Source organism: Homo sapiens, chromosome 6 (assembly GCF_000001405.40).
Source record: "Homo sapiens chromosome 6, GRCh38.p14 Primary Assembly".
Taxonomy (NCBI): Eukaryota; Metazoa; Chordata; class Mammalia; order Primates; family Hominidae; genus Homo; species Homo sapiens.
The window spans coordinates 76421502-76445858 of record NC_000006.12 but is presented as its reverse complement, the minus strand read 5'-3'; the positions used below and the strand labels follow the sequence as shown (position 1 = coordinate 76445858).

At 36.3% G+C, this 24357-nt stretch overlaps 2 annotated features.

Annotated features, from left to right (window-relative positions):
- Positions 19803 to 20304: an enhancer, noted in NCBI's record as "NANOG hESC enhancer chr6:77135272-77135773 (GRCh37/hg19 assembly coordinates)". NCBI's record gives its function as "activates a minimal SCP1, AML or CMV promoter by ChIP-STARR-seq in naive and primed H9 embryonic stem cells {active_cell/tissue: H9 hESC(naive and primed)}" and the evidence as "EXISTENCE:reporter gene assay evidence [ECO:0000049][PMID:30033119]".
- Positions 22585 to 23168: an enhancer, noted in NCBI's record as "OCT4-NANOG hESC enhancer chr6:77132408-77132991 (GRCh37/hg19 assembly coordinates)". NCBI's record gives its function as "activates a minimal SCP1, AML or CMV promoter by ChIP-STARR-seq in naive H9 embryonic stem cells {active_cell/tissue: H9 hESC(naive)}" and the evidence as "EXISTENCE:reporter gene assay evidence [ECO:0000049][PMID:30033119]".

The following is a 24357-nucleotide window of genomic DNA, read 5'->3' as shown; positions in this document are numbered from 1 at the left end:
TATTCTATGTAAGCCTCATGGTAAACAAAAACCAAAAAAGTCTATTGGAGACACACAGAAAAATAAAAAAGGTTCAAAACTACAACTACAGAAATTTATGAAACCACAAAGGAAGACAGCAAGAAAGGAAGAAACAAAGTATCTCCAAAAACCCAGAAAACAATTAACAAAATTGTGAACAGTAATTCCTTACTATTGGCAGTAGTGAGTCCTTACCTATCAATAAGTACCTTGAATGTAAATTGATTAAATTCTCCAATAAAAGGACATACAGTAAATGAATGTATAAAAAAAATAAGACCCAACTATATACTGCCTACGAGAGACTTACCTCACTTTTTAGGATACACATAGACTGAAAATGAAGGATTGAAAAAAGATATTCTATGCAAATAAAAAACAAAATAATGCAGGGATAGTAATACTTAGCAAAAAATTAAAGAGGAAAACTACTTCCAAACTTTATTTATTTATATTTATTTATTTATTTTAAGACAGAGTTTCGCTCCCATTGCCTAGGCTGGAATGCAATGGCATGATCTCGGCTCTCTGCAACCTCTGCCTCCCGGGTTCAAGTAATTCTCCTGCCTCAGTCTCCTGAGTAGCTGGGATTACAGGCATGCGCCACCATGCTCGGCTAATTTTGTATTTTTAGTAGAGGCGGGGTTTCTCCATGTTGGTCAGGCTGATCTCAAACCCAGAATTTTTTTTAATAAGGCCAGCATCACTCTGATACCAAAGCCAAACAACGATATAAAAGGAAAGAAAACTACAGGCCAATATCCTTGATGAATATAGACACAACAATTCTCAACAAATTAGTAGCAAGCCAAACTCAGCATCACAAAGGATCACTTATCATGATCAAGTGAGATTTATTTCTGGGATGCAAGGATGGTTTAGCATTCACAAATCAATAAATGTGATACACCGTATTAACAGATTGAAGGACAAAAAGTTATATAATCACCTCATTAGACACAGAAAAAAATTTGACAAAATTCAACATCCTTTCATGACAAAAACACTCAGCAAATTAGGTATAAAAGTAAAGTCTTTCAACACAACAAAGGCCATATGTAATAAGCCCGCAGCTAACATTATACCAATGATGAAAAATTGAAACCCTTTTCTCTAATAACTGCAACAAGACAAAAATTCCACCTCTTGCTACTTCTATTGAGCATTGTAATGGAAGTCCCGCTTAGAGCAATAAGCCAGAAGAAAGAAATAAAAGGCATCTAAATAAAAAAGAATTAAAACCATTGCTACTTGCTGATGGAATCATCTTATATACAGAAAAAGCTAAAGTCTATAACCGAAAACTGTTATAACTAATAACAAATTTGGTAAAGTTGCAGGATACAAAATTAACACACAAAAATCAGTAACATTTCTCTACACTAAAAATGAACTTTCCCAAAAAGCAATCAAGAGAACAATCACATTTACAATAGCTACAAAAAAATTAAATACTTAGGAATAAATGTAACCAAGGAGATGAAAGACCTGTACATTGAAAACTATAAAACATTAATGAAAGAAATAAATGAAGACAAAAATAAATTCAAAGATAGCCCATGCTTATGGATTGGAAGAATTAATATTAAAATGTTCACACCATCCAATGCAATCTATAGATTTAAATGTAATCCTTACCAAAATTCCAATGCCATTTTTCATAGATATAGAAAAAACAATTTTAAAATTCATATGGATCCAAAAAAATCTCAAATGGCCACAGCAATCATAAGCAAAAAGAACAAAGCTGGAGGCATCAACATCACCTGATTTCAAGCAATGCTACAAAGTGATGGTAATTAAAACAGCGTGGTGCTGGTACAAAAATAGACACATTGACCAGTGAAAACAGAATGAAGGGCCCAGAAATGAACCCATACAACTACAGTCAATTCATTTTTGAAAAAGGTACAAAGAATATGCAAAGGGAAGAGGACAGTCTCTTCAATAAATGATGTTGGGAAAAGTGGACATTCATATGTAAAAAAATGAAAGTGGACCTTTACCTCACACCATATATGAAAATAAGCTCAGAATGTTTCAAAGACTTAAGCATAAGGCCTGAAACCATAGAACTATAAGAAGAAAACAGGAGAAAAATTATTCAACATTGGTCTGGGCAAAGATTTTTTAGATTTGACTTCAAAAGCACAGACAACAAAAACAAAAACAGACAAATGAGAATAAAAACCTTCTGTGTGGCAAAGAAAAAAAATTGATAGAGTTGAAAGATAACCTATGGACAGAAATAAAATATTAGCAAGTCATACATGTAGTAAGGGATTAATATTCAAAATATATAAAGAATTCAATCTATAGAAAGAAAATCTGATTAAGGGCAAGCAATCTGAATAGACATTTCTCAAAAGACAGCATACAAATGGCTAACAGATATATGAAAAAAGTCTGCGACATGACTAATCACTAGGGAGATGCAAGTTAAAACCACAATGAGATATCACCTTACACCTGTTAGAATGGCTATTTTCAAAAATATGAAAAATAAGTGTTGGTGAGAATGTGGAGAAAAGAGAAACCTTGTACACTGTTGGTGGGAATGTAAATTGGTAGAGCTATTATGGAAAACAGTTTGGAGGCTCCTCAAAAAACTAAAAATACAATCATCATATAATCCAACAATCTAAATTCTGGGTATTTACTCAAAAGATTTGAAATCGGTATGTTGAAGAGATTTCTGTGCTCCCACATTGATTGCAGCACTATTTGCAATATTCAAGTTATGAAATCAACCTTAGTGTCCATCAGTGGATGAATGGATAAAGAAAATGTGGTATCTAAACACAATGAAATATTATTCAGCCTTAAAAAGGGGAGAAATTCAGTCAATTGTAATATGAATCAACTTGGAGAGCATTATGCTAAGTAAAATAAGCCCAACACAGGAAAGCAAATACTATATGTTTTATATGTGGAACCTAAAATAATCGAACTCATAGAAACAGAGAGTAGAGTGGTGGTTACCAGAGGCTGGTGGATGGGGGAAATGTGGAGATAGTCAAAGGGTATGAAATCTCAGTTAGATAAGAAGAATGTTTGATTTCTTTTTTGAGATATATTGCATAACATGGTGAATATTGCTAATACTTGAAAACTGTATATTTCAGTCACTAAGAGAATACATTTCAAGTGAACTCATCATAAAAAATGTTCATTTGAGGTGATGAATATGTTGATTAGCTTAATTTAATCATGTCACATTGTTTTAAAAATCATAACACTACTTTGTACCCCTTAAATATATACAACTATAATTTATCAATATATAATTAAAATAAAACAAGAAAACCCAGGGGAAAAATGGGACTTGAGATACAGACCATTTATGCTACAATAAGGTTTATAAAATTCTAACTTTTTTCTTTAAGACAAAAATTAAAAACAAATGAGACTATAAGTTCCCTCAAAAAAAGAAAAATAGAAACACCTTTTATAGCCCAAACAATGGAACTAATCAAATAATTTATAGTAAATTTTTTAAAATGAGATCAAAGGTGTCATAATATAATCAATCATGTGGATCAATTTATTTGACTACATATTAGTTGAGAAGGGCAGTCTGCCATGGCCCTAAGCATTCATGCACATCTTTGCTCAGTGTGTCAAGTTACAGGGCCTAATCTCCTCTAGCCTGATGCTGTTTCTGCAGATAGACTCAAACACAGTTAAGTAGGTCAAGGCAACAAAAACATACCCATGTGACTGCTCAGGAGGGGCTTGTTTATTGCATACCATAAAAGGTACTGAGCCCTTAGCCCTGAGTTCCAGCCCAACCAGGCCATTGCATCATCCCATGATATTTAGGGTAAGGAGAACTAGCACTAACATACTGATGCTTCTGCTGTCGCTGTGCTGTGAGTAATGACCTGTCTTGCTCTGATCCAATGAGTAGTACAGTTTACTTTCAGCGCCTCTGCTACGAAGGTTGAGGTTTTTTCCCTAACCAATTCCTTGCTTTTCACCTGCCAGTTTGTGTTGCTTCACTTCTTTGTGTTTGGTTTGTACTCTTTTAACATAGAGCAATAAGAATATATACCTCCTAGTTATTTTAAGGATTAAAATATTACATGTAAAGCAATTAGAACACTGCCTGACACATAAAAGTGTCCAATAACTATTTAGCAATCACCATCATTGTTGTCAACATCATCCCCATCATCATCATTAGAATCATGCAGTACAAGCATATTTAGTAATTTCTAGAAAATATGGTATCCTTGCTACTAAAACAGCAAGTTATAAAATGCTGAGAACAGATAGGAAAAATGTAAGTAATTGTTAAATCTGAATAGAGGGTATATGGGAGTTCCTTGTACCAAAATTGGAAACTATATGAAAGTTTAAAATTATATCAACATAAAAAGTTACCTTAAAAATAGTGAGTACAGTAAATACCAATCTGAATTTATTTATATACCACTATATTAAATACATAATATACTTGCATATGTGTGTGTATACACAAATATAGGCACACTCATAAACACACATCTTAATAGATAAAAATAAATAGGCTATCTCACCACACTTGATGTGATTTAGAATAATTTTCTTTTTTTGTGTTTTTTCAATATTTTCCAAATTTTAAAATACATATAAATTGTTAAAATAGAAGAAGTAGACATTTAAAAAGAAAATTAAAAACTCTTTTATGGAAAGTTTTACATAAACAATGGCTTCAAAATACAGCCCCTATGTTTTTATATTTAAATGAAGAAATACAAATCAGACATTTCAAATAATGTTCGTTATTTGAAGAAGTTGGAAAAGTAGACACTCAGAAACTCATGATGTTTAAGACTAAATAAATGTGTTATTGTGTATGAAGTTTTGGGTTTCAACTTTGTTTGAACTCCGGAAGTTTACCACACTCTCAGTTTTAAATAATCATGTAGCTAAAGGAGATTGTGACTTGTGTATCGACTTCCAGGCTTCACTTGATTAGATAAGGATATGTTCAAGGTGCTTGGGCAACTTTAATTACAAATTAACACACTGATCAGAAGAAAAGATTTGGCATTAAATGGGAAGAACAGAATAGATGAAATTCCAGTAGTGTCTGCTAAAAACAAAAGGAGAATAAAAGAATCATCAGGAGTGAGGAAAAAAGAATAAAGCCTCAGCTGGCAGAATCCCAACAAGCAAATTTAGGTTCCAATGGAGTCCTCGTGGCCTGGTTCAGTTTTCTGATCCACAGCACAGATCATACTGAGCTCCCTGAAGTGAGAATAATCTCTTTCATGAAAACTTTGCTGAAAGTTTGTATTCTCTTCAAATGAGAAGGCTAATAAAGATGACTTCCATTCTCCCCAGTAGTGCAGAAAGTACTAACAATAACATTTCTGCAGAAAAATTCATTTTCTCCATTAAATAATAAAAGCACATTCTAGCATATGAATATATCTGAGCACTTTTAACTGTTGGACCATTTTCCATATTCATCTATTCCTCTGCTCTTGGGTATAACAACTAAATAAATATTTAACAGAACTTAAGAGAGTAAATTTGTTCCTAAAGGAAAAAAAGTATTAAATACAAAAGTAATTAACAGGAAAAATTTTGCCTAAATAGAGTGACAGATGAAAAAGTAAGCATTTTCTTTAATCTGAATGTTCCAAGCAGATTTCAGGATTGAGTCAGAACAGGATAAATCTATTACTGCAAATGCATTCACTACAAGTAATTAAATATCAAAATCACCATAAGCAGGAAGCAAAATTCCTCATTCCTCATAACAATAAGTGCCCAAGTAGGTGGTACTAAGGTCAGTTACTTCAGCAATTCAATCTAGAGAGGACTCCACATGACTTCTCTGCTCTACTCACGGACACAGGTTACTTGCTACCTTTTCAAGCAACATATCCCCAGAATGATGTTCGAAGACTGGCAGGATCAACTTGCTGTCTCAGGTCCCTTTTCCAGAAAGCATCCAGCATGTATTCTATTACCACTCAGTGACCAAGGTTTTATCCCACTTGCATATCTAAACCAATAACTGCAAAGGGAGAAGGAATTGTATAACTGGCTTAGAAAAATAGTCATTCAATCCCTGGGATGCTCAATAATGACCAAAATGAAGGTTCTGCTTACCGATAAGAAGGGGTATGGTTGTGGGGTAGGCAGCCAGCACTGTCTGCCCCAGGAGAGCTCCAGAGGAGAGTGTAAGACAAAAGCCAAATTCTTTGCCATCCTTTATGAGTCCTGTGTTCCTTCTCTGTAGCTTTATCTGCTGCTTTCTGAATAGGCCAAGCACTTAAGTTGATCTTATCTTTGAAATTTCAGTCCCTTCATCCTTTATTGAATTTTTCACCTCTTTCTTCTTATTTTTATCTTTCAAAGCCTAGTTCAAAGGCAGCCTCATCTACTTCCCCATAATGGGGTGCATCCCTCCTTTTTCTAGCCTGCTATGGTTTGGAACTTCTCTATTTGGCACTTTTGCTTTCCTGCTTTATATCAGTCATATCATAAGTCTCTCACCACAGTGGAGTGAAAGCTCCTTGAAAACAGAAATGGTGTCACATTATTCTTTTATGTGTGATTCCAGTGTTTTTAATGTAAAAGGTATTTAATAAACAGCAAGAGAATTCATCTAAAAAGTCATCTTTCTGAAATCACTCAGTAAAATTCCACACCAAGACCCTGATGCTGTCATCCTCAATTTTTTTAAGAATGGAGAGAGATCACCTTGAAACTAATTTAAGAGTAAAGTCAAATTAGCTGCAAAGATTTATTGCATCTTTTGGTTATCTATTTTAGAGGAATCCATTTACATTTTTAAAAACGCCCAGTAGAATCATAATATTAGTCTATGTCATTAAATTTTTGGAATGCTTTTGCTGAAAGTGAAAAAGAATGCTCTTATATGACTCATCAGATTCTACTCTGACTCTGCTTTCTTCTACTTATCAAGTTTTACTAAGTTTTTATCTTCTTTGAGTTTATTGTAATAATTTTCCCCTTATTTAATAATATAACTTTCAAAATAAGTACCAGTTAAGTCAAATATTGTGAGGCCAGAGAAATTATATAAAACAAAAACAACTCTCTAATGAAGTGAGAATCCTAGTTTAAAAGATTTCTGGAAAGGAGACAAACATTTAGACCAGGTCAAAGGAAGTTACCTGATTACAAAAGTTAAACATGACTCTAAATGTTTTATACTACATCTTGAACCCCTTTCAATTTTACTACGTAATAGAGATAAATCTAGACTCTTTCTAGCCTTTTTGTGGAATCTTTGAACTTATGAATCTTAATAGGAAACTGAGTATGCCTTCCCTATAGAAGTCAAAAAAGCCAGATGCTCAAGATCGGAAGCCCCTTCCAGTTAGGGTGTGGGTATGTGCCATAGGCCAGCTCCTCAGATTCACTGGGCTGGAACTGTGATTGGGCAGCTGGTGATGCACAGGGAATCCATTTCTGGATGGCAGCAGTGGCAATGGTGCCACCACTATGCCCAGTGTCCACAGGATGCTTTATGAGCTACTGGGTCCAGGGTCCAGAATGGTCAACACCAGGGTCCTCACAAGACTGGTTCTGGTGGCCTGGCCTGTCTTTATTCCTGCCTGCTTCCCAACCTGTTTCTCTAGTTTTCTCAGAAATTCTACCAGCATCTCAATATCCATTCAAATTCCTGTTATAAGTGAGTCTCTGTTACCCGTGGATAAGAACCATAACCAATATTTTATGTAAATACTTCAAATACAAATGCTCGTGTTTGTGTAGTACTGAGCAATCTTAATCTGCTTTTAAATCACTATTTTTACTTGAAAATTTCAAAGGTTTTTATTTCTTGTTTCTTATTTATGAGGCTAGGTCAAAAAGTTTTGAGGGTATTCTTTGTCTAAAGCTTTTCTATATCCCTTTAATGGCAGAAGTTCAGAAGTGGATATATAACTCATATGAAATTCTATAAATGCTAAAGATACAGTGATTATCACTGACCTTCAAACATCCCATATAGACCAGATAGGTTAGAGATGTTTTGGGGTGCTTGAAAGGCCAACAGATTTTCTTTTGGTCAGCTTTTAAGCAAGCATGGCATTACATTTTATATGCATGAATATAATCATGCTCTGCATAACGACACTTTGGTCAATGATGGGCCGCCTGTGCAACCGTTGTCCCATAAGATTGTAATGGAGCTGAAAAATTCTCAATATCTAGTGGACGTCATAGCCATCATAACATCATAATGCAATGCATTACTCATGTGTTTGTGGTGACACTGGTGTAAAACAACCTGCTGCACTGCCAGTCATATAAAAGTGTAACCCATACAATGATATACAGTACATAATACTTGATAATGATAATAAACAACTGTGTTACTGGCTTATGTATTTACTATACTACACTTTTTGTTGTTATTTTAGAGTGTACCCCTTTTACTTATGAAATAAAAGTTAACTGTAAACATCCTCAGGCACATCCTTTGGGAGGTGTTCCAGAAGAAGGCATTGTTATCATAGGAGACGACAGCTCTATGCATGTTATTGCTCCTGAAGAACTTCCAGTGGGACAAGATATGAAGGTGGAAGGCAGTGATATTGATGATCCTGACCCCGTGTAGGCCTCAGCTAATGAGTGTGTTCGAGTCTTCATTTTTAACAAAAAGTTTAAAAAGTAAAAAATAGAAATAATAGAAAAAAGTATAGAATAAGGATATACAGAAAGCACTTTTGTACATCTATACAGTGTGTTTGTGTTTTAAGCCAAGTGTTATTACAGAAGAGTCAAAACATTAAAAAAAAAGCTTCTAAGTTTAAAAAAGTTACAGTAAGCTTAGGTTAATTTATTATTAAAGAAATATTTTTATAAACTTAGTGTATCCCAAGTGTACAGTGTTTATAAAGTCTACAGGAGTGAACAGTAATATACTAGGCCTTTGCATTAACTCCTATACAGGAGTGCTTTTTTTTTTTAATTATTATACTTTAAGTTCTAGGGTACATGTGCACAACATGCAGGTTTGTTACATATGTATACATGTGCCAGGTTGGTGCGCTGCACCCATTAACTCATCGTTTACATTAGGTATATCTCCTAATGCTATCCCTCACCCCTCCCCCCACCCAACGATAGGCCCCGGTATGTGATGTTCCCCTTCCTCTATCCAAGTGTTCTCACTGTTCAATTCTCACCTATGAGTGAGAACATGCAGTATTTGGTTTTCTGTCCTTGTGATAGTTTGCTGAGAATGATGGTTTCCAGCTTTATCCATGTCCCTGCAAAGGACATGAACTCATCCTTTTTTATGGCTGCATAGTATTCCATGGTGTATATGTGCCATATTTTCTTAATCCAGTCTATCATTGATGGACATTTGGGTTGGTTCCAAGTCTTTGCTATTGTGAATAGTGCTGCAATAAACATACGTGTGCATGTGTCTTTATAGCCGCATGATTTATAATACTTTGGGTATATATCCAGTAATGGGATGGCTGGGTCAAATGGTTTTCTTGTTCAAGATCCTTGAGGAATCGCCACACTGTCTTCCACAATGGTTGAACTAGTTTACAGTCCCACCAACGGTGTAAAAGTGTTCCTATTTCTCCACATCCTCTCCAGCACAGGAGTGCTTTTTTTTATCCTTCATACTGTATTTTATTGTACCTTTTCTATGTGTAGATGTTTCTATACACAAATACCACTGTGTTGCAATTGCCTACAGTATTCAGTACAGTAACATGTTGTACAAGCTTATAGCCTGGGAGCATTAGGCTATGCCATATAGCCTAGGTGCACAGTAGGCTATACAATCTAGGCTTGTGTAAGTATACTCTGTGATGTTCTCAGTACAATGAAATCACCTAATGATGCGTTTCTCAGAACATATCCCCATTGTTAAGCAACACATGACTATAAATAATGTATTTCAATAATGGGCATGGCACATTATTTTGTTCTAAATATTCTACGTATATTTTCTCATGTGGCAGTTTATGTTTTTGTACTAAATGCACAGTGTGAAGTCTTTATTTTTGAACTTCGGCCTCAAGCACCTCAAAGAACAATAAATATTTGAGAAAATTAGTCTGTTTTTAATTCAACGGAACACTGGAACTTCAAACAGCCTAGCTGTTGCTCTCAGAATAAGAACCTTGCTAACTTGATGGAACTAAGAATTTTGGTATGTCACAGTGATACACAAATAAACAATAAATTTCACTTTTTCTATCAGAATTATATGAGAAAACAAACTATTAATAGCAATATAAATTCTTATAGTAAAATGATGGTAAGGCCCACAAAAAGACAAAGAGGTTATTGTCCATCTGGGCTCTCTCTCAAATCCAGTTGGCTCTGTCTTAGAGGTTGCACTTGCCTTCCTAATCATATTCCACACCACACCCCTTCAGCCATCTCTCCCCTCCATTGCCTGCTCTGTGGCCTGAGAGGCTGACTTGTGGTTGCAGTTGGCATCTCCTGTGCTCTCTTACTTGCCAGCTTCATTCAGGCCAATGGAATTCACATGCAGGAGATAAGAGAGCAAGAGGAAAAAGGGGATGTGGTATTTCTGTCTTGTTCCTTCTCTGCTCTTCTTCTGGCCAGCCTCTTAAAATAGCCATTTCCTTCCACAGCTACAACTCCCACTGGGCAATTCCTCTTCAATGGTTCGCACTTCCACTGGATTCTGATAACTCCATTTCCTTTCCTACTGCCTTTGGTCCAAAGGGTAGGAAAGACTTTTCCATTTGCTCTCTGTGAGTACCTCATCATTACCTGCTTGTTCTTTTAATCTGGCTTCACATCTGAGCAAGTAGTTTCTCAATTGAGTCTCTTCATTTGAACACCCAGGTTATACTCTATTTTCTATCAAAACCCTAACTGCTTACAGGACAAAACTACCTGATACCTTTCACATGAACTGTGGTCTTATTTTCATCCTTTCAACTCAGGAACCTTACTTGTTAACATATTAGATTCATACGTTAGAGAACATGGTATTAAAACTTCAGGAAGACATGATAAAATCAGAGTGATAATTCATTAAAATACAATAATGAATATTGTTGTAAGGAAGATTGGGGGCCTGAGTCTTCTTGCCGGTTTTTACTTTTTGCATGAGAAACCAACTTTTATAATAAAAATATTCAAAAGTGTGTTTGCTAAGTCTAGATTCAGACTGAGGGGAGTTAATTACATTATTCAAATATTTGTTGACCTCAGCCTAACAAAGCCTGGGACCTCTTCCACTGCCTTTATACTCTCCAGAGATACAGGGTAGAAAACACAGGTAGTCTGTCCCCTGAAAAGTGTCTCACTCTGCACTGCCAAAATTAATCTCACTGACTGTCTTTTACTAAGTTTTTAAGGCAACAAATAAATGTGACCCCTACCCTGACCAATTCCCTTCCACATACACAGCTACGATCAGTGCATTTCTTCTTTAGAAATTTTTTCATTTATATAATCAAATCATGAGTTAAGGGCTACTCGGTCTCAATAAAGTGATTTTTATTCATTCATGCCTTCCACAAATATATGATGAGCATCTTCAGTGCATCTGACAGCTGCTGGGTTTGAGAACATACCCTGAAGAATAAATTCACTCTCTTCCCCATTATGTGGTACTTTCTCATTTTTGATGCCAGAAAGCACACTTATATCCTTCATATCAAGCTCTTTAGGGACACCACATAGTATTCCCCAATTACTGACAATACATTTTTTTCCTGCGTGAATATCAAATAACCTAATCAGTGCCAGAGCGGTACAAAAGAAAGAAAAAGAAAATGTTTACAGGACCATTTTAACATTCTAAATATCCTGAATTTTACCAACTAAATAATGATGTTGGCTAATAATTTAACCAAGTTAAGATTTATCTTTTTAATGTATAGTCTCCCATTTAACTATGAAATGTATATGTACTGGTTACCATTAGAACCCAGAGTTGGTCCAGATCAAATTGTGAACTAGTAAATCTGTTCTCTTCATCTCCAGCTTCATCAAACCATCTATGAAAGAATTGTTCTACTTCATCAGGCTGTGCTTCCATTTGCACATTCACATACACAGCCAGTACCTTGTCTTTCTCTCTGAATTCAGTGGTGTCTTTACTAGCTTACCTGCTTCTCTTGTTCCTCTGTACTGCACACTTCACTCAGCAGTAAAAGTGATAACTTAAAAATGTAAACCCGATCAAGTCACTCCCCGGGCTTGAATTCCAGATCTGTCACTTCCTAGCTATGACCTCATCTGTAAATTAATGATGTTCATAGCCCTTCCTTCACAAGATTGTTTTGAATATGCAATGAACATATTCAATGGGGAGGCCGGGTGTGGTGGCTCATGCCTGTAATCCCAGCACTTTGGGAGGCGGAGGCAGGTGGATCATTTGAGGTCAGGAGTTCAACACCAGCCTAGACAACATGGTGAAACTCCGTCTCTACTAAAAATACAAAAATTAGCCGGGTATGGTGGCACACACCTGTAATCCCCGCTACCCAGGAGGCTGAGGCAAGAGAATTGCTTGAACCTGGGAGGCAGAGGTTGCAGTGAGCCGAGATTTTGCCACTGCACTCCAGCCTGGGTGACAGAGTGAGACTCCATATCAAAAAAAAAAAGAAAAAAAAGAAAAAAGAAAAGAAAAGAAGAAAGAATCCACGAGGAATGTTAAAATGAATACCTGGCATAAGTAAACTAGCTATTATTTTAGACTGGCAAAAGTGTTTTTTTCCATATTTCCTGTGACACCCCACCTCAGGCAGCAGCTAAGATATTTTATGCTTATTGCCTCAGGGGAAAGAAAATGGCATCAAAGAAAAGAGAAAAGGTCTTTTGAAACTCTTGGCAGAGGCATTTGTTTGTGAAAACAAAAAGACCCTTCAAGTTTCAAAGTCTTTCGGGGGCATAAAGTTTATACTGTAAACAGTATGATTTGGGAAAAAAAAAAAAACAGATGAAAGGACATACAGCCCAACCCTAGACTAGACAAACTTTCTCTGGTCAGGAGGGATTCAAAGAGAACATTGAGAGAAGGCCCCAGGCCTTGTCCTCACCTGCTAGGCTAAGTTCTAGGGAGGAAAAAACAGTCTGGGTATATTTGAGAATCTGAGAACAATGAGGAAGACTGTGTCCTAAACAGAACTTGAGACAGTTATAAAGCCTTAGCATTTTCTGAGTCCAGCATGGTGCAAGCAAGAGTAAGGAAGAAGAAAAGGCTGCATGTCACATCTCAACAGAGGAGACAAGGAAGACCCCTTAAAGTTCCTCTCATCTCTAGACCACCATGAGAAAGCAACCAAATATGTCCTGTGTTTCAACAGAGACACAAACAGAGAGGAGACAAGGGGCATCTACAGAGTCCCTGTGGTTGAGGTGAGAAACAAAAAGAAGCAGTCTGCATGGTTCATAGCCAAGGATCAGATAGAAAAAGTATGCCTCAATGAATACCAACATGGAGAGATGGAACTGGCCACACACCTTTCATCACCCCCAGCCCAACACCAAATGTGTTGGTGTGACAGAAGAACTCCTCCTAGGATGACTGACATTACTACATATTTTACATGGAGTTGAAGGGATTCTCAAAAAAATAAGTCCAGCTATAGAAATATAACACTATCTGCTTGTGTTAAATGCCTTTCCATTTCCCTTAAAATAAACTGCAAGCTTCTTACCTTTGCCTACCAGCAATGCATGACCAGGCTCCTGCTTCCCTCTCTCATCTTGTCTCGTGCCTTTTTTTCCTTTTGTCAGTACATGCCAGCCACTCCAGCTTTCTTCCTCTTTTGAGACTTGGGAAAGTCCTTTCCCAAATTAAGGCATTTGCATTGGTTGCTTCTGTGCTCTTAAAATGTCTAGACCATTCTAAGCCTTGGGAAATCATCACGACAGTCTTCTCCTCAAAGAAGACTTTCCTGACTTAAACTTCTCCATATCTTCTCATGTTATTTCATCCATACGACTTAATGCTTGTTTATTTACTCAATTATTTATTTACTTTTTTTTTCTAATCTCCCTGAGGCCTGGAATCTTTTCCATATATTCTTTGCAATGTCCTTCACATCAAGCACATTTTCTGGCATAGAGTAAGTGCTTAAAAATATTTGTTAAATGAGTGAGTGAATGCTTTCCTTCATCCAACCACAGTAAGGAAGTTCACACTGTAGTCATAGTAGTAGCAACAGTATTTTATCCTTTTTATTTAAAAAAATTATTTTGAAAACAAATCTCAAAAGATATTTTCTATCCAAACTATATAAAGTACATTAGGTGTTCAGAGATCCCCAAGACCACCCTCAGATTCAGTGATTCAGTAGAAGGACTCACAGAACTCAGCAGAGCCATGACACAGATACAGCTGACTATAGCAGTATAATATGAGGATACAGATTAAAATCTGCAATGGGAAAACATAATATAGGTGCTGGTAATTGTGAAAAAAAGTTGAATTTTTGGAGGCCTAAAGTAAAAGAGAAAATTCATGGGCCCTTAACTTGGAACCCAAAAGTGGTATATGTTGAGTAAAAGGAATCCCACATGGTTTCTTCCTGTACATAATCTAACACACTATGACATGCCAACAGCATGGGCATATGATTATTTATAACCAGCCTCAATCCAAAAGAATTTGACAGTTGTTTTTAATAATACAATCATATATACATAAAACATCTGCAGGAAGCAACAATACAGCGTAGAGTACTGGGAATATTGGACAGATTTCAAGAACCCTGAAAGAACATTCACTGTGTCCAGGGTAGATGAATTCTGAGACTCATTTGGAATCAGGTAGGTCAGGGAAAGATGACTTCTGCCTGCCTACCTTGTGTGTCCTTTCTTCAGAGACACAGATCTACAATATCCAGAACATAAGAAAGCTCCCTACGCTCAGGAGTTCCATTTGAAAATAACTGATACTATTTCACAATTCATTCCCTTACTACACTGCTCTCAAGTTTCATTCCTTTCTCCATCCTTTTAGGAATGACAGTTTCATGTAATACTATACAGCTAAAAGTAGAAGAGAAATTAACAGTACATTAAGGCCTGGGGTGTAAACTTAACAGTAGACAGCAGGAGAAATGTTAAATAGTTGTACACATGGTACAAGAGAAAAACTTCAGATTCCTTCAAACCACTTCTGAATAACTTCTCTTGCACAATGCAAGATAATCAAGAAGTCAAAGAAGGATAAGCCTCAGTCTGGAAGAGCCACAATCAACAGATGTCCCGACACTATCACGTTGAGTACAGGATGAGTTCATCAAGCAGTCCGAGATCTAAAATGAAGCATCAAACACCCATGTTGATAAGAGGAGCAAAAACAGATTCCATTTTTCTAAAGGGTAGTTGCAATAAATAACCATCAAGGACCTTCTCCTCTTCCAACTACTCGAACATCCCTTCAGCTGCGTTATTGCCACTAATTTTACAGGACCTACTTCCTCTTGAATGAATAACTTAATAATGTAAGCTAGACTTGAACTAGAAAATAATGTTCTTTCTTCTTTTTTTTTAGATAAATAAGAAAAATGTTAAAAGCCAAAGTGCCTTGGTAAAATATAAAACTATATGTCCACCCGTGAGGTACAGACTCTGCACTGCAGAAATCTAAACTATTGATATGGAAGTCAAAAGTGAAATGCTTTTCCAAAGGCAAAGCAAAATAACAAAGAGAAAAACTATGAAAAAGAGATAGAAGTAAAAGAGAGAGAAAAAGAAAGATTCAATCTACTAATAATTTGTATTGTTAAAGAGTGGAACAGAATAAATAAAATATAAAAAACAAATGTACGATTGAGCAAAAACAGTCCTAAGTTGTTAGGTCCAGTTCTGAGAAGTCTCCACAGAGATTACTCTGTGTTGTTGTGAGGGCATGCTCTGTGTTTGGTGCCTGTCCTCCAGAATGTAGACAAAAAAGCAGATGACCACAACTTGAGTAATAAATGTAGAATCACTGGAAAGTCTTTACTTCAATCAGAAGAGCTCAAGTATTTCTTGATTCTTAAGCTTATTAAAAATCTTCATTAGAAAGGAGATAAAGCTAGTCATGGTGGCTCATGCCTATAATCCCAGCACTTTGGGAGGGGGAGGTAGGAGGATCACTTGAGCCCAGGAGTTCAAGATCATCCTGGGCAACATAGTGAGACCACATCCCTACAAATAATAATTTCTTAAAAAATTCATTGGGCATGGTGGTATGTACCTGTGGTTCCAACTACTTGGGAGGCTGAGGGAGGAGGATCATCTGAACCCAGGAGGTCAAGGCTGCAGTGAGCCATGATCACACCACCGCAACCCAGCCTGGGTGACAGAGTGAGACCCTGTTTCAATTAAAAAAAAGAAAAAGCAGATAAAAATCCATTCTATCTGCATATGCAGTCTTGTATGTACAGTGTCACGAGAAAGAGATCAATTTCAGATGCAAAAGAAGAAAGATAATTTTTTAAACACTGAAAAACAGTTATAGAATACAATAAAGCCTCCCTATGCAGTTGATCAGCAGCAGCAACAGCATCTTCATCACAGCTCTCTGAACAGTTTAAACATACCACAGTAGACAAATGATAAGGAGATAAGTTTGTGTGTCACAGATAGAAGGCTGCCACCTGTCTTTAGTTCTAAAGATCTCAAGGGCCTGTTTTCTGAATGACACAAAGGGAAATGTTATAAAGATTATTAATGTCATAGGTGATTGATCTGAGAAAAAATAATTTCTTTGATTCTAGTAATGTTTCTAATCAAAAAAGAGCAAACTCAGGTTGACCTATGATGTTCCTACAACACAAAATGGCAGAGGTATTGAGGCAGGATGTATATCAATTTGAGGGCAAAAAGTTGTGACATGAAATTCTGCTCCCAACCAAGTTGATATTGATGTACAAAGACAAAAGGAAGATGTTCTGGGATATTCAAGCCTTCAGACAATGTACAAGTCACATACCCTTCCTAAAATAAAAACTTATTTCAAAATGTTTTGTAGAGGGAGTGGTAAATCACATCAAAGGACTTTAGAATGAAAAAGCCATAACATTAAAAAAATCCTAACCAAGACTAGGAATAAGGGAAAAAAATAAAGAAAAAGCAAAGTTTCCAATATTTGCAGGTGATATGATTGTCTCTCTGGAAAGCCCAGCATGATCAACAACATGCAACAAAATTCAAATAAAAGCTCACTAAAGGAGCCAGTCTAAATAATAGTATTAATGTACACAGATATTTCCAAATCTTTTATTTTACACTTGAAATAAGAAGTTTTAAAAATCAAGGAAAAAATTTACCATTCTCAAAATTGAAATTTATATCAGATGCCTAAAAATAACAGTGCAACAAAAATATGAAACCTATATGTAGAAAACCACCACAGTTATTGAGGATTATAAATGCTAATGTGAAATGAAAACCTATTCCATCTTCTTTAAAGAAAAGAGTGAAGGAAATACAGATTATCTCTTAAATATGCCCAGACAATGAAAAGTATTCTAAGCATGATACTGCAGGCAGAAATCACAAAGGAAAGCACTGAAATATATAACAGTATTAAATATTGTAATATCTGTGCATCCAAAAATCCCATAAGCAAAATAAAAGGTACACATCAACCAGGAAATAAATGCTTATAGCCTATATGGCCAGCAAATAGACAGTGGCCTTAAATGCATAAAGAGCACATACAATTCAATATAAAAATGCATATCCTAATAGAATAATAGGTAAGAACATGAATAAACCATCCATAATAGATGAAAGTTAATGGCAATTATGAAAAATTGTTCAAGCTTATTGGTTTTCTGGGGGGAGAAAGTTGATTTAAAGCTCTTCTCTTATGATCCTCCTCATCACTCTTCCATCAAGAATGAGTTAAAATCTAAAAATTTTACTGCATTCCCAAGGAAGAGAAGTGTTTCAATTCCAACAGTACCACAACCACAAGGACTAATCTTTCAAAGGATTAAAATGTTCATCAAATACAAATATTATGCTTTTTCTACTTTCTTATTGATTGATAAGCATGCTAGGCTACATCCACATGGACAAAGAGAAACGGCTGCCCCAACCTCTTCTCCTTGTGTTGTTTGTGTGTGTGTGATGTAAGTGCATCTCTCTATTTGGACACACTGATTCTCAGGAGCCTGGCAAAAGTACACATGGCTTGAGAGCTGCTTTCCCTGACAAGATACAAAAATACATGACGTTTTAGATATATAGTTATCAAATAGATAATGTAACATTTTACTAATGGGGAAGAATCTACAGAGAGCATGATGTAGAAAAAAATATATGTGGATAGAATGGCTGAGTAATTAAATAGTCGATATCAAAAAGTCTCAAAACATGTACACCAAAATGTTAACAATGCTGCGTTTCTGCCTGATGCTGTCATTCCTCTATCATCCTACTTCTGTTTCATACATGGATTCTCTTTTCCATCCCAGAGCTGTTCCCATCTTGTAATGATTTTGTTAAAATGGTTATTTCTCTGTATCCAGTGTACTGCACTAATTGGACCTTCTTTTCTTAAATTGCCTTCAATATAACTAGGAAATTCTGGAACTTTCTGAGAGTAACCAATGTTCATTAAACTTTCACTATGCTTTAATAGTTGAACCACTTGCTTTTTTTTTTTTTTTTTTTTTTTGAGATGAAGTCTCGCTCTGTCCCCAGGCTGGAGTCCAGTGGCGCAATCGCGGCTCACTGCAAGCTCCGCCTCCCGGGTTCACGCCATTCTCTTGTCAGCCTCCCGAGTAGCTGGGAATACAGGCGCCCGGCTAATCTTTTTTTATATTTTTAGTAGAGATGGGGTTTCACCGTGTTGGCCAGGATGGTCTCCATCTCCTGACCTCGTGATCCGCCCGCCTCGGCCTCCCAAAGTGCTGGGATTACAGGCATAAACCACCACGCCGGGCCGAACCACTTGTTTTAAATAATGAACTTATTTATTCATTACTGTTGCCTACCAAGGTTGGTACTACTATTATTGTCTTCATTTTTATATAAATGAGTAAAGTGAGGCCCAGAGAAGTTAAATAACTCTGGATTGTAGGATTGAAGACAGGATTTGAACCAAGATATTTCTGATATAAAAGTGCATGCACCGTTTAACCTCTGCAGTAACGATTCTTCTCTTTTCTCTCCATGAGCCTATATCCGAGAATGGCTTTCTCTCTTTACTCTCTCCTAGGTGCTTATATTGCACACAATTCTAGGAGTTTTGGCAATGTGTCCCCCAGTTTTAATGTGACTGAAATGTCATATACAGTGATGGTGTTAGACAAAATGAAAGCAATTTACAGAATTAATATTACCTCTAAAAGTGCTATACAGATATCACTAATTCGTATTCTTTCCTGAGTTACATCGTTATGTAGAAAGAAGCCTGGGGTTTTACACATAAAAAAAGATGTTTGTTAATCATCTATTTTTACTCCAGGCTGGACACTGCTGGGTATGGGAATGTAATTTAGGTAAAATCAGAGTGATCTTTTCACTCACGGAGCTTGTGGTTGGGTGGGTGTCTGTTTTTAGCCCACTTATGTTTTATGCATACTCCCATAGCACTTATTATATATCTCTATTATAGTAATTCATGTTTCAATAAACGTTAATTCATTTCTGACCTTCTCAAAGACAGTAACAATGTCTTGTCCATCTTTGTTTACCCACAAAGCCTGACATAATGCTTGATACAAGGATATATTCAATACATAAGCAATGATATTTTTACATTCTTCAACTACAGTGTCTAATATGATAGAGGCCATGTCATAGGCGTGAATGCTCTCAGTGTAACTAAGATCTCTCACATCCCCAGTCTGGGGTAGAAAATATAGTCATATGAATTTTAACAATAAAATTAATATGGCTGCCAGCCCCCATTTTGCCACTCTGAGAAAGGTCTTCTGGAATTCCTGAGGCCTGACCTCCCAGAAAAATATGTCTGTTGATATCACTTTATTCTAATTGCCTTCAAAACAGGCTACTGCAGAGCCCCCTGAGGCTTTAGAGTCTCAGTCAATTCACAGCAGGTTTCTATGTTTCCAAACACAGCTTCCACCTCCATCAAAACATTGCCTAGCCAGTGGCCAAAGCATCAGCAAGACATCACAATAGCTGGTAAGTTTTACAAACAACTCACAGGAAGTGGGAAGTAGAATCCTCTATTTCACCCATCCCATTCTGTTTCTCTCTGCTTCTGCCACAATTTCACCATGATTCAGTTACGGAAAAGTAAAGATAGCTTCCCCTCTCAGCGTGAAATTCAGCAGTGGGCACCCCATTCCCCCATCAGCCTCAGATCCCACAGCTCTCCCCTATTAGGTATTGATAATCGACCATTCATCCAACACATACCAAGGAGCAACAGCTGACTCAGAGACTCAAGGAATTTAGAAATGGCTAAAGAAAAACTTTTCTTTTTATGTTTCACTGATGAAATTCCATCTCTTTCTCTTTAAAAAAAATACCTAGTTCCCATAGATTTAGTGCTACACACAATTCTAGGAGTTTTGGCAATGTGTCCCCCAGTTTTGCTAGAATATATAATTCTCTGTAATTATTTCTGGATAAGTTTTTCCTCAGGAATTGAAAAAAAAAATCTTTTGGATAAAGTTGATCAACTATTTGCCCACAGAACGGCCTGTTACTAATTAGGATAATTGTGTTCAGACTAGTTTTTTGTTACATGAAAGAGAATATCAACCATCCCTCAAAAACTATTATTCATTTTCAAAGTATAATATATTTTAAGTAGCTTGATTTTTTTTGCATTTATTACCATAGGTTAACCATTGTGATTATAAAAGTAATATATAGTCAATGAAAAAATATAGAAAATAGAGAAAAGCAAAAAAATTAAACTTATTCATGATCTTACCACTTAAAGATAGCAACTCAAAGTTTTAATATATTTCTTTACTGTCTTTAAGGTTAACTACCATCAATACTCACATTTTCAGACTGCTCTAATAAACTCAGGGTAGGGTAGATAGGATTTTATTTCTGAGAGCATTTGAAGAGATTCCTAGGAATAATGCAAGGATATATCCTAAGAAAGGAAGGAGCCACAACCAACTAGATCTACTAACAAAGCCAGTAGTCAGCCAAAGTGACACCAAGTCTACCATGGAGATAGTCATTCATGTCGTCCTTTGGCCCAACTCCAATGAAATCCCAGGGAGCAGGATGCTACAAAGGAATGACTGAAGACTACTTTCTCCAATATCTCAGGAAGGTATTGGAGATGCAAGATTGTTCTTTGTGAATTCTTTTCTAGCTGACTACAACACAATAAGGCATTCTCTTCATTTCAGCAAAAACAGGTATGGCTTTGGCATCTACCTTTGGCAGTAAGGGTTCCAGAATTCTTAAGCAACAGTGACACTTCAAAAGCTTTATCGTTATCAGCAGCATAAGGGACTCCAGAAAATAAAAAAGAGCACTTTGTGGGTAGGAGCAGGGTCCTGTTGGAGACAGGAGGAAAGAACCAATGAAATATAGAGCTTGTATAGACTGTCAGTACACATGATGTTTATTGGTATATTGTAAGAAAAAGAGACTTTTATTCTCCTTTCATGAAAAGACAGTGTGTTAATAGGAAGACAGCCAGGGGCATGCTCCTGAAGACATAAAGACTAAGAATGCTAAATTGCTTTACATTACAAAGAACTTGAAATTGCTCAGACATATCTGTAGAAAAATGAGAACTGTCTAGAAAAGGATAATGATGAAGAAGTCTGGAGAGAAAAGCAAAGAGATTGGCAGGAAGCAACTCTGCAAGGTGGAAGAATAATCTATTTTTAAAAATGCCTGGAAGAAATGGCTAAGGGACATTGCGAACAGAGATGCTATCATTTGATTTGAGGTTGAAAGCTTGATGTGCTATAACCCTTTTCCAATTGCCCTCAAACATTCAGTACAAGTGGTCCACTACACCCAGCTGCCTTGTGTTGACGATGCTTAGGAGAAATGTTTTTTTAAGTATGCTCCACATTTTGATGTAGTGAAATGAGGAACTGCAGAAGGCAAGACATCAGGATTTTGTAGGAATAAGATCTGAAGAGGAGGTGACCAGGAGAATATAAACTTTTAGGAAGTAGAAAAAATTCTATCATAGATTACCATATTATCTTATCATAGAATATATTAATATTTACACAGCAATGCATAACAAAATTGGAAAAATGCTGTTCTTTTAAAAAGTATATCAATGTTTTAAGCACTCTTCTAACTTCCACATTTAATAGCTGAAAAGAATTCCATAATATAAATGTAATTTTTTTTCGTTTTTGTTATTAGCTATCTCCTACTTGTGGACCTATGGGTTATTTCCAGGTTTTCACTATTATAGAAAATGTTGCAATCAGAGTTGTGTGCATATTTGAAGACACTTCCGATTATTTCTATACAACTATTTCTTAGAGTGGAGTTAAAAAGTCTAGGAGTATGAAGGTTTTTCAAGCTTTTGATGCTTATTGATAAATTATTTTCACACAGGATTATATCAATTTGCCCTCCTGCCAGCAAAGCATAAGAGCATCAAATTTCTTTAAAGTAACAAATAAATACATGTCATATTAGACCTGATATTGAAGAGGGAGATAGAATAAAAACAATGAGAATTTATCACAGTCTCAAAAATGTGAGTTAACGTTGGGCCATTGAAAGGAGTGGTAGATAAAATGCCTAACCCAGACAGCTTTAACATTTCCCTCAGCTTGACTAAGCTTTAGACAGGCTTCTTCCTGATGCTAGGCTCCTGACCTTCCTTTTCTTTACAGCATTTACTTTAGAAAACTTCTAAGTGTAAATTCTCTCTTTGCCTCTTTGAGATGTAAATCTTCTAAAAAGCCTCTTGCTAGCTTTACAGCCCAGGATGTCCTTTCTCAAAGATGTGGGAGCCTTCCCTGTGAAATATAATCATCAGGGAAGGTATCTCTGTAGGAGGGCAGGAGCCAAACTATGAGCCCATCCTTGTGAAAGGATGGAAGCCTTGGTCCGAGTTGTAAAGCTACCTCTTGTCATAAAGATATGAGAAAGCTTACTTTTCCTTTGGGTGAGACCAGTTAGCAAACAGAGGCAGCCTATAATTTCCCTCACTCCAGCCCTTAAAAACTCTTTAGCGCTTTGTTTCTATGGAGATGAGGTGAGATTGAGTTTTGGCCTCTCTTCCCTATTGCAATAGCCTGGAATGAAGTCTTCCTTGTCTGTTTAACATTGTTCAGTGCAATTTTAGCTTTGACACTCCATAAACCCACCCAAAATAGCAGAATGTTTATGTGTGATATAATTGTAATTATTAAATGCTGTTAAACTACTTAAAAGACATCTTAAAATTCTGTTATTTCTATCACCTGTCATAAATTTACAATGCACTCTCAAGGTTATGACTTTTAAACTGTTTTTTACTTAGAAAATACTAAATTAATATACAACAAGCTTGTCCAACCTGCGGCCTGAGGGCCACATATGGCCCAGGATGCTTTTAAATGGAGCCCAACACAAATTTGTAAACTTTCTTAAAACATTATTAGTTGGTTTTTGTTTTGTTTTGTTTTGTTTTTGCTATTTTTATTTTCTAGCTCATCAGCAATTGTTAGTGTATTTTATGAGTGGCCCAAGACCATCCTTCTTCTTCCAATGTGGCCCAGGGAAGCCAAAAAGATTGGACATCCCTGCTGTAGCGCCTTGAACAAAACATGTATTTCTCTAATTCTGTTTCCTTACTTATAAAATGGAACCTGGTAAGTGGCTATTAAGATCTCCAAAGATCTAACAGTCTGGGGTCCAATTCATTCTTCACAAAATTCCAAATTACTGAGCAGATTATTCTGCTGCAGAATGTATTTCTACAACACTAATCAGCTCATAAACAATTGGAAAATAGAGAAACTATGTCAGAATAATATGGACATAATCTGGTTTATACATGATTTTTTATAAGCAAGGGGAAGTAGAAAATCAAGAGTAGAAACCGAACATTCAGCAATGAAGAATAAAGACTTCAGCCTATGCTGCTCAGGCAGCTGAAACCCTTTCCGTTCCATTTTAATAAAATTATAAATAAGTCCTGCACCAGGGCATCCCTCCTCCAAAAGGAACACTCAAGCTTTGTATTGCTGTGCCTGATGAGAGGTTGCACTCCCCAGAAAGAACACCTTCAAAGCAGCCCCTCTGGTTTAGAGTTCTACTTCTATCTATCTACCTGCCTCTATGCTAATTAAGAGCTACTAGTATTTCTGTCAGAGGCACGTGAAACAGAACAACTCCATCTTAAATAGGAGCTGGGTAAAATGAGGCTGAAACCTACTAGTCTGCATTCCCAGATGGTTAAGGCATTCTAAGTCACAGGATGAGATAGGAGGTCAG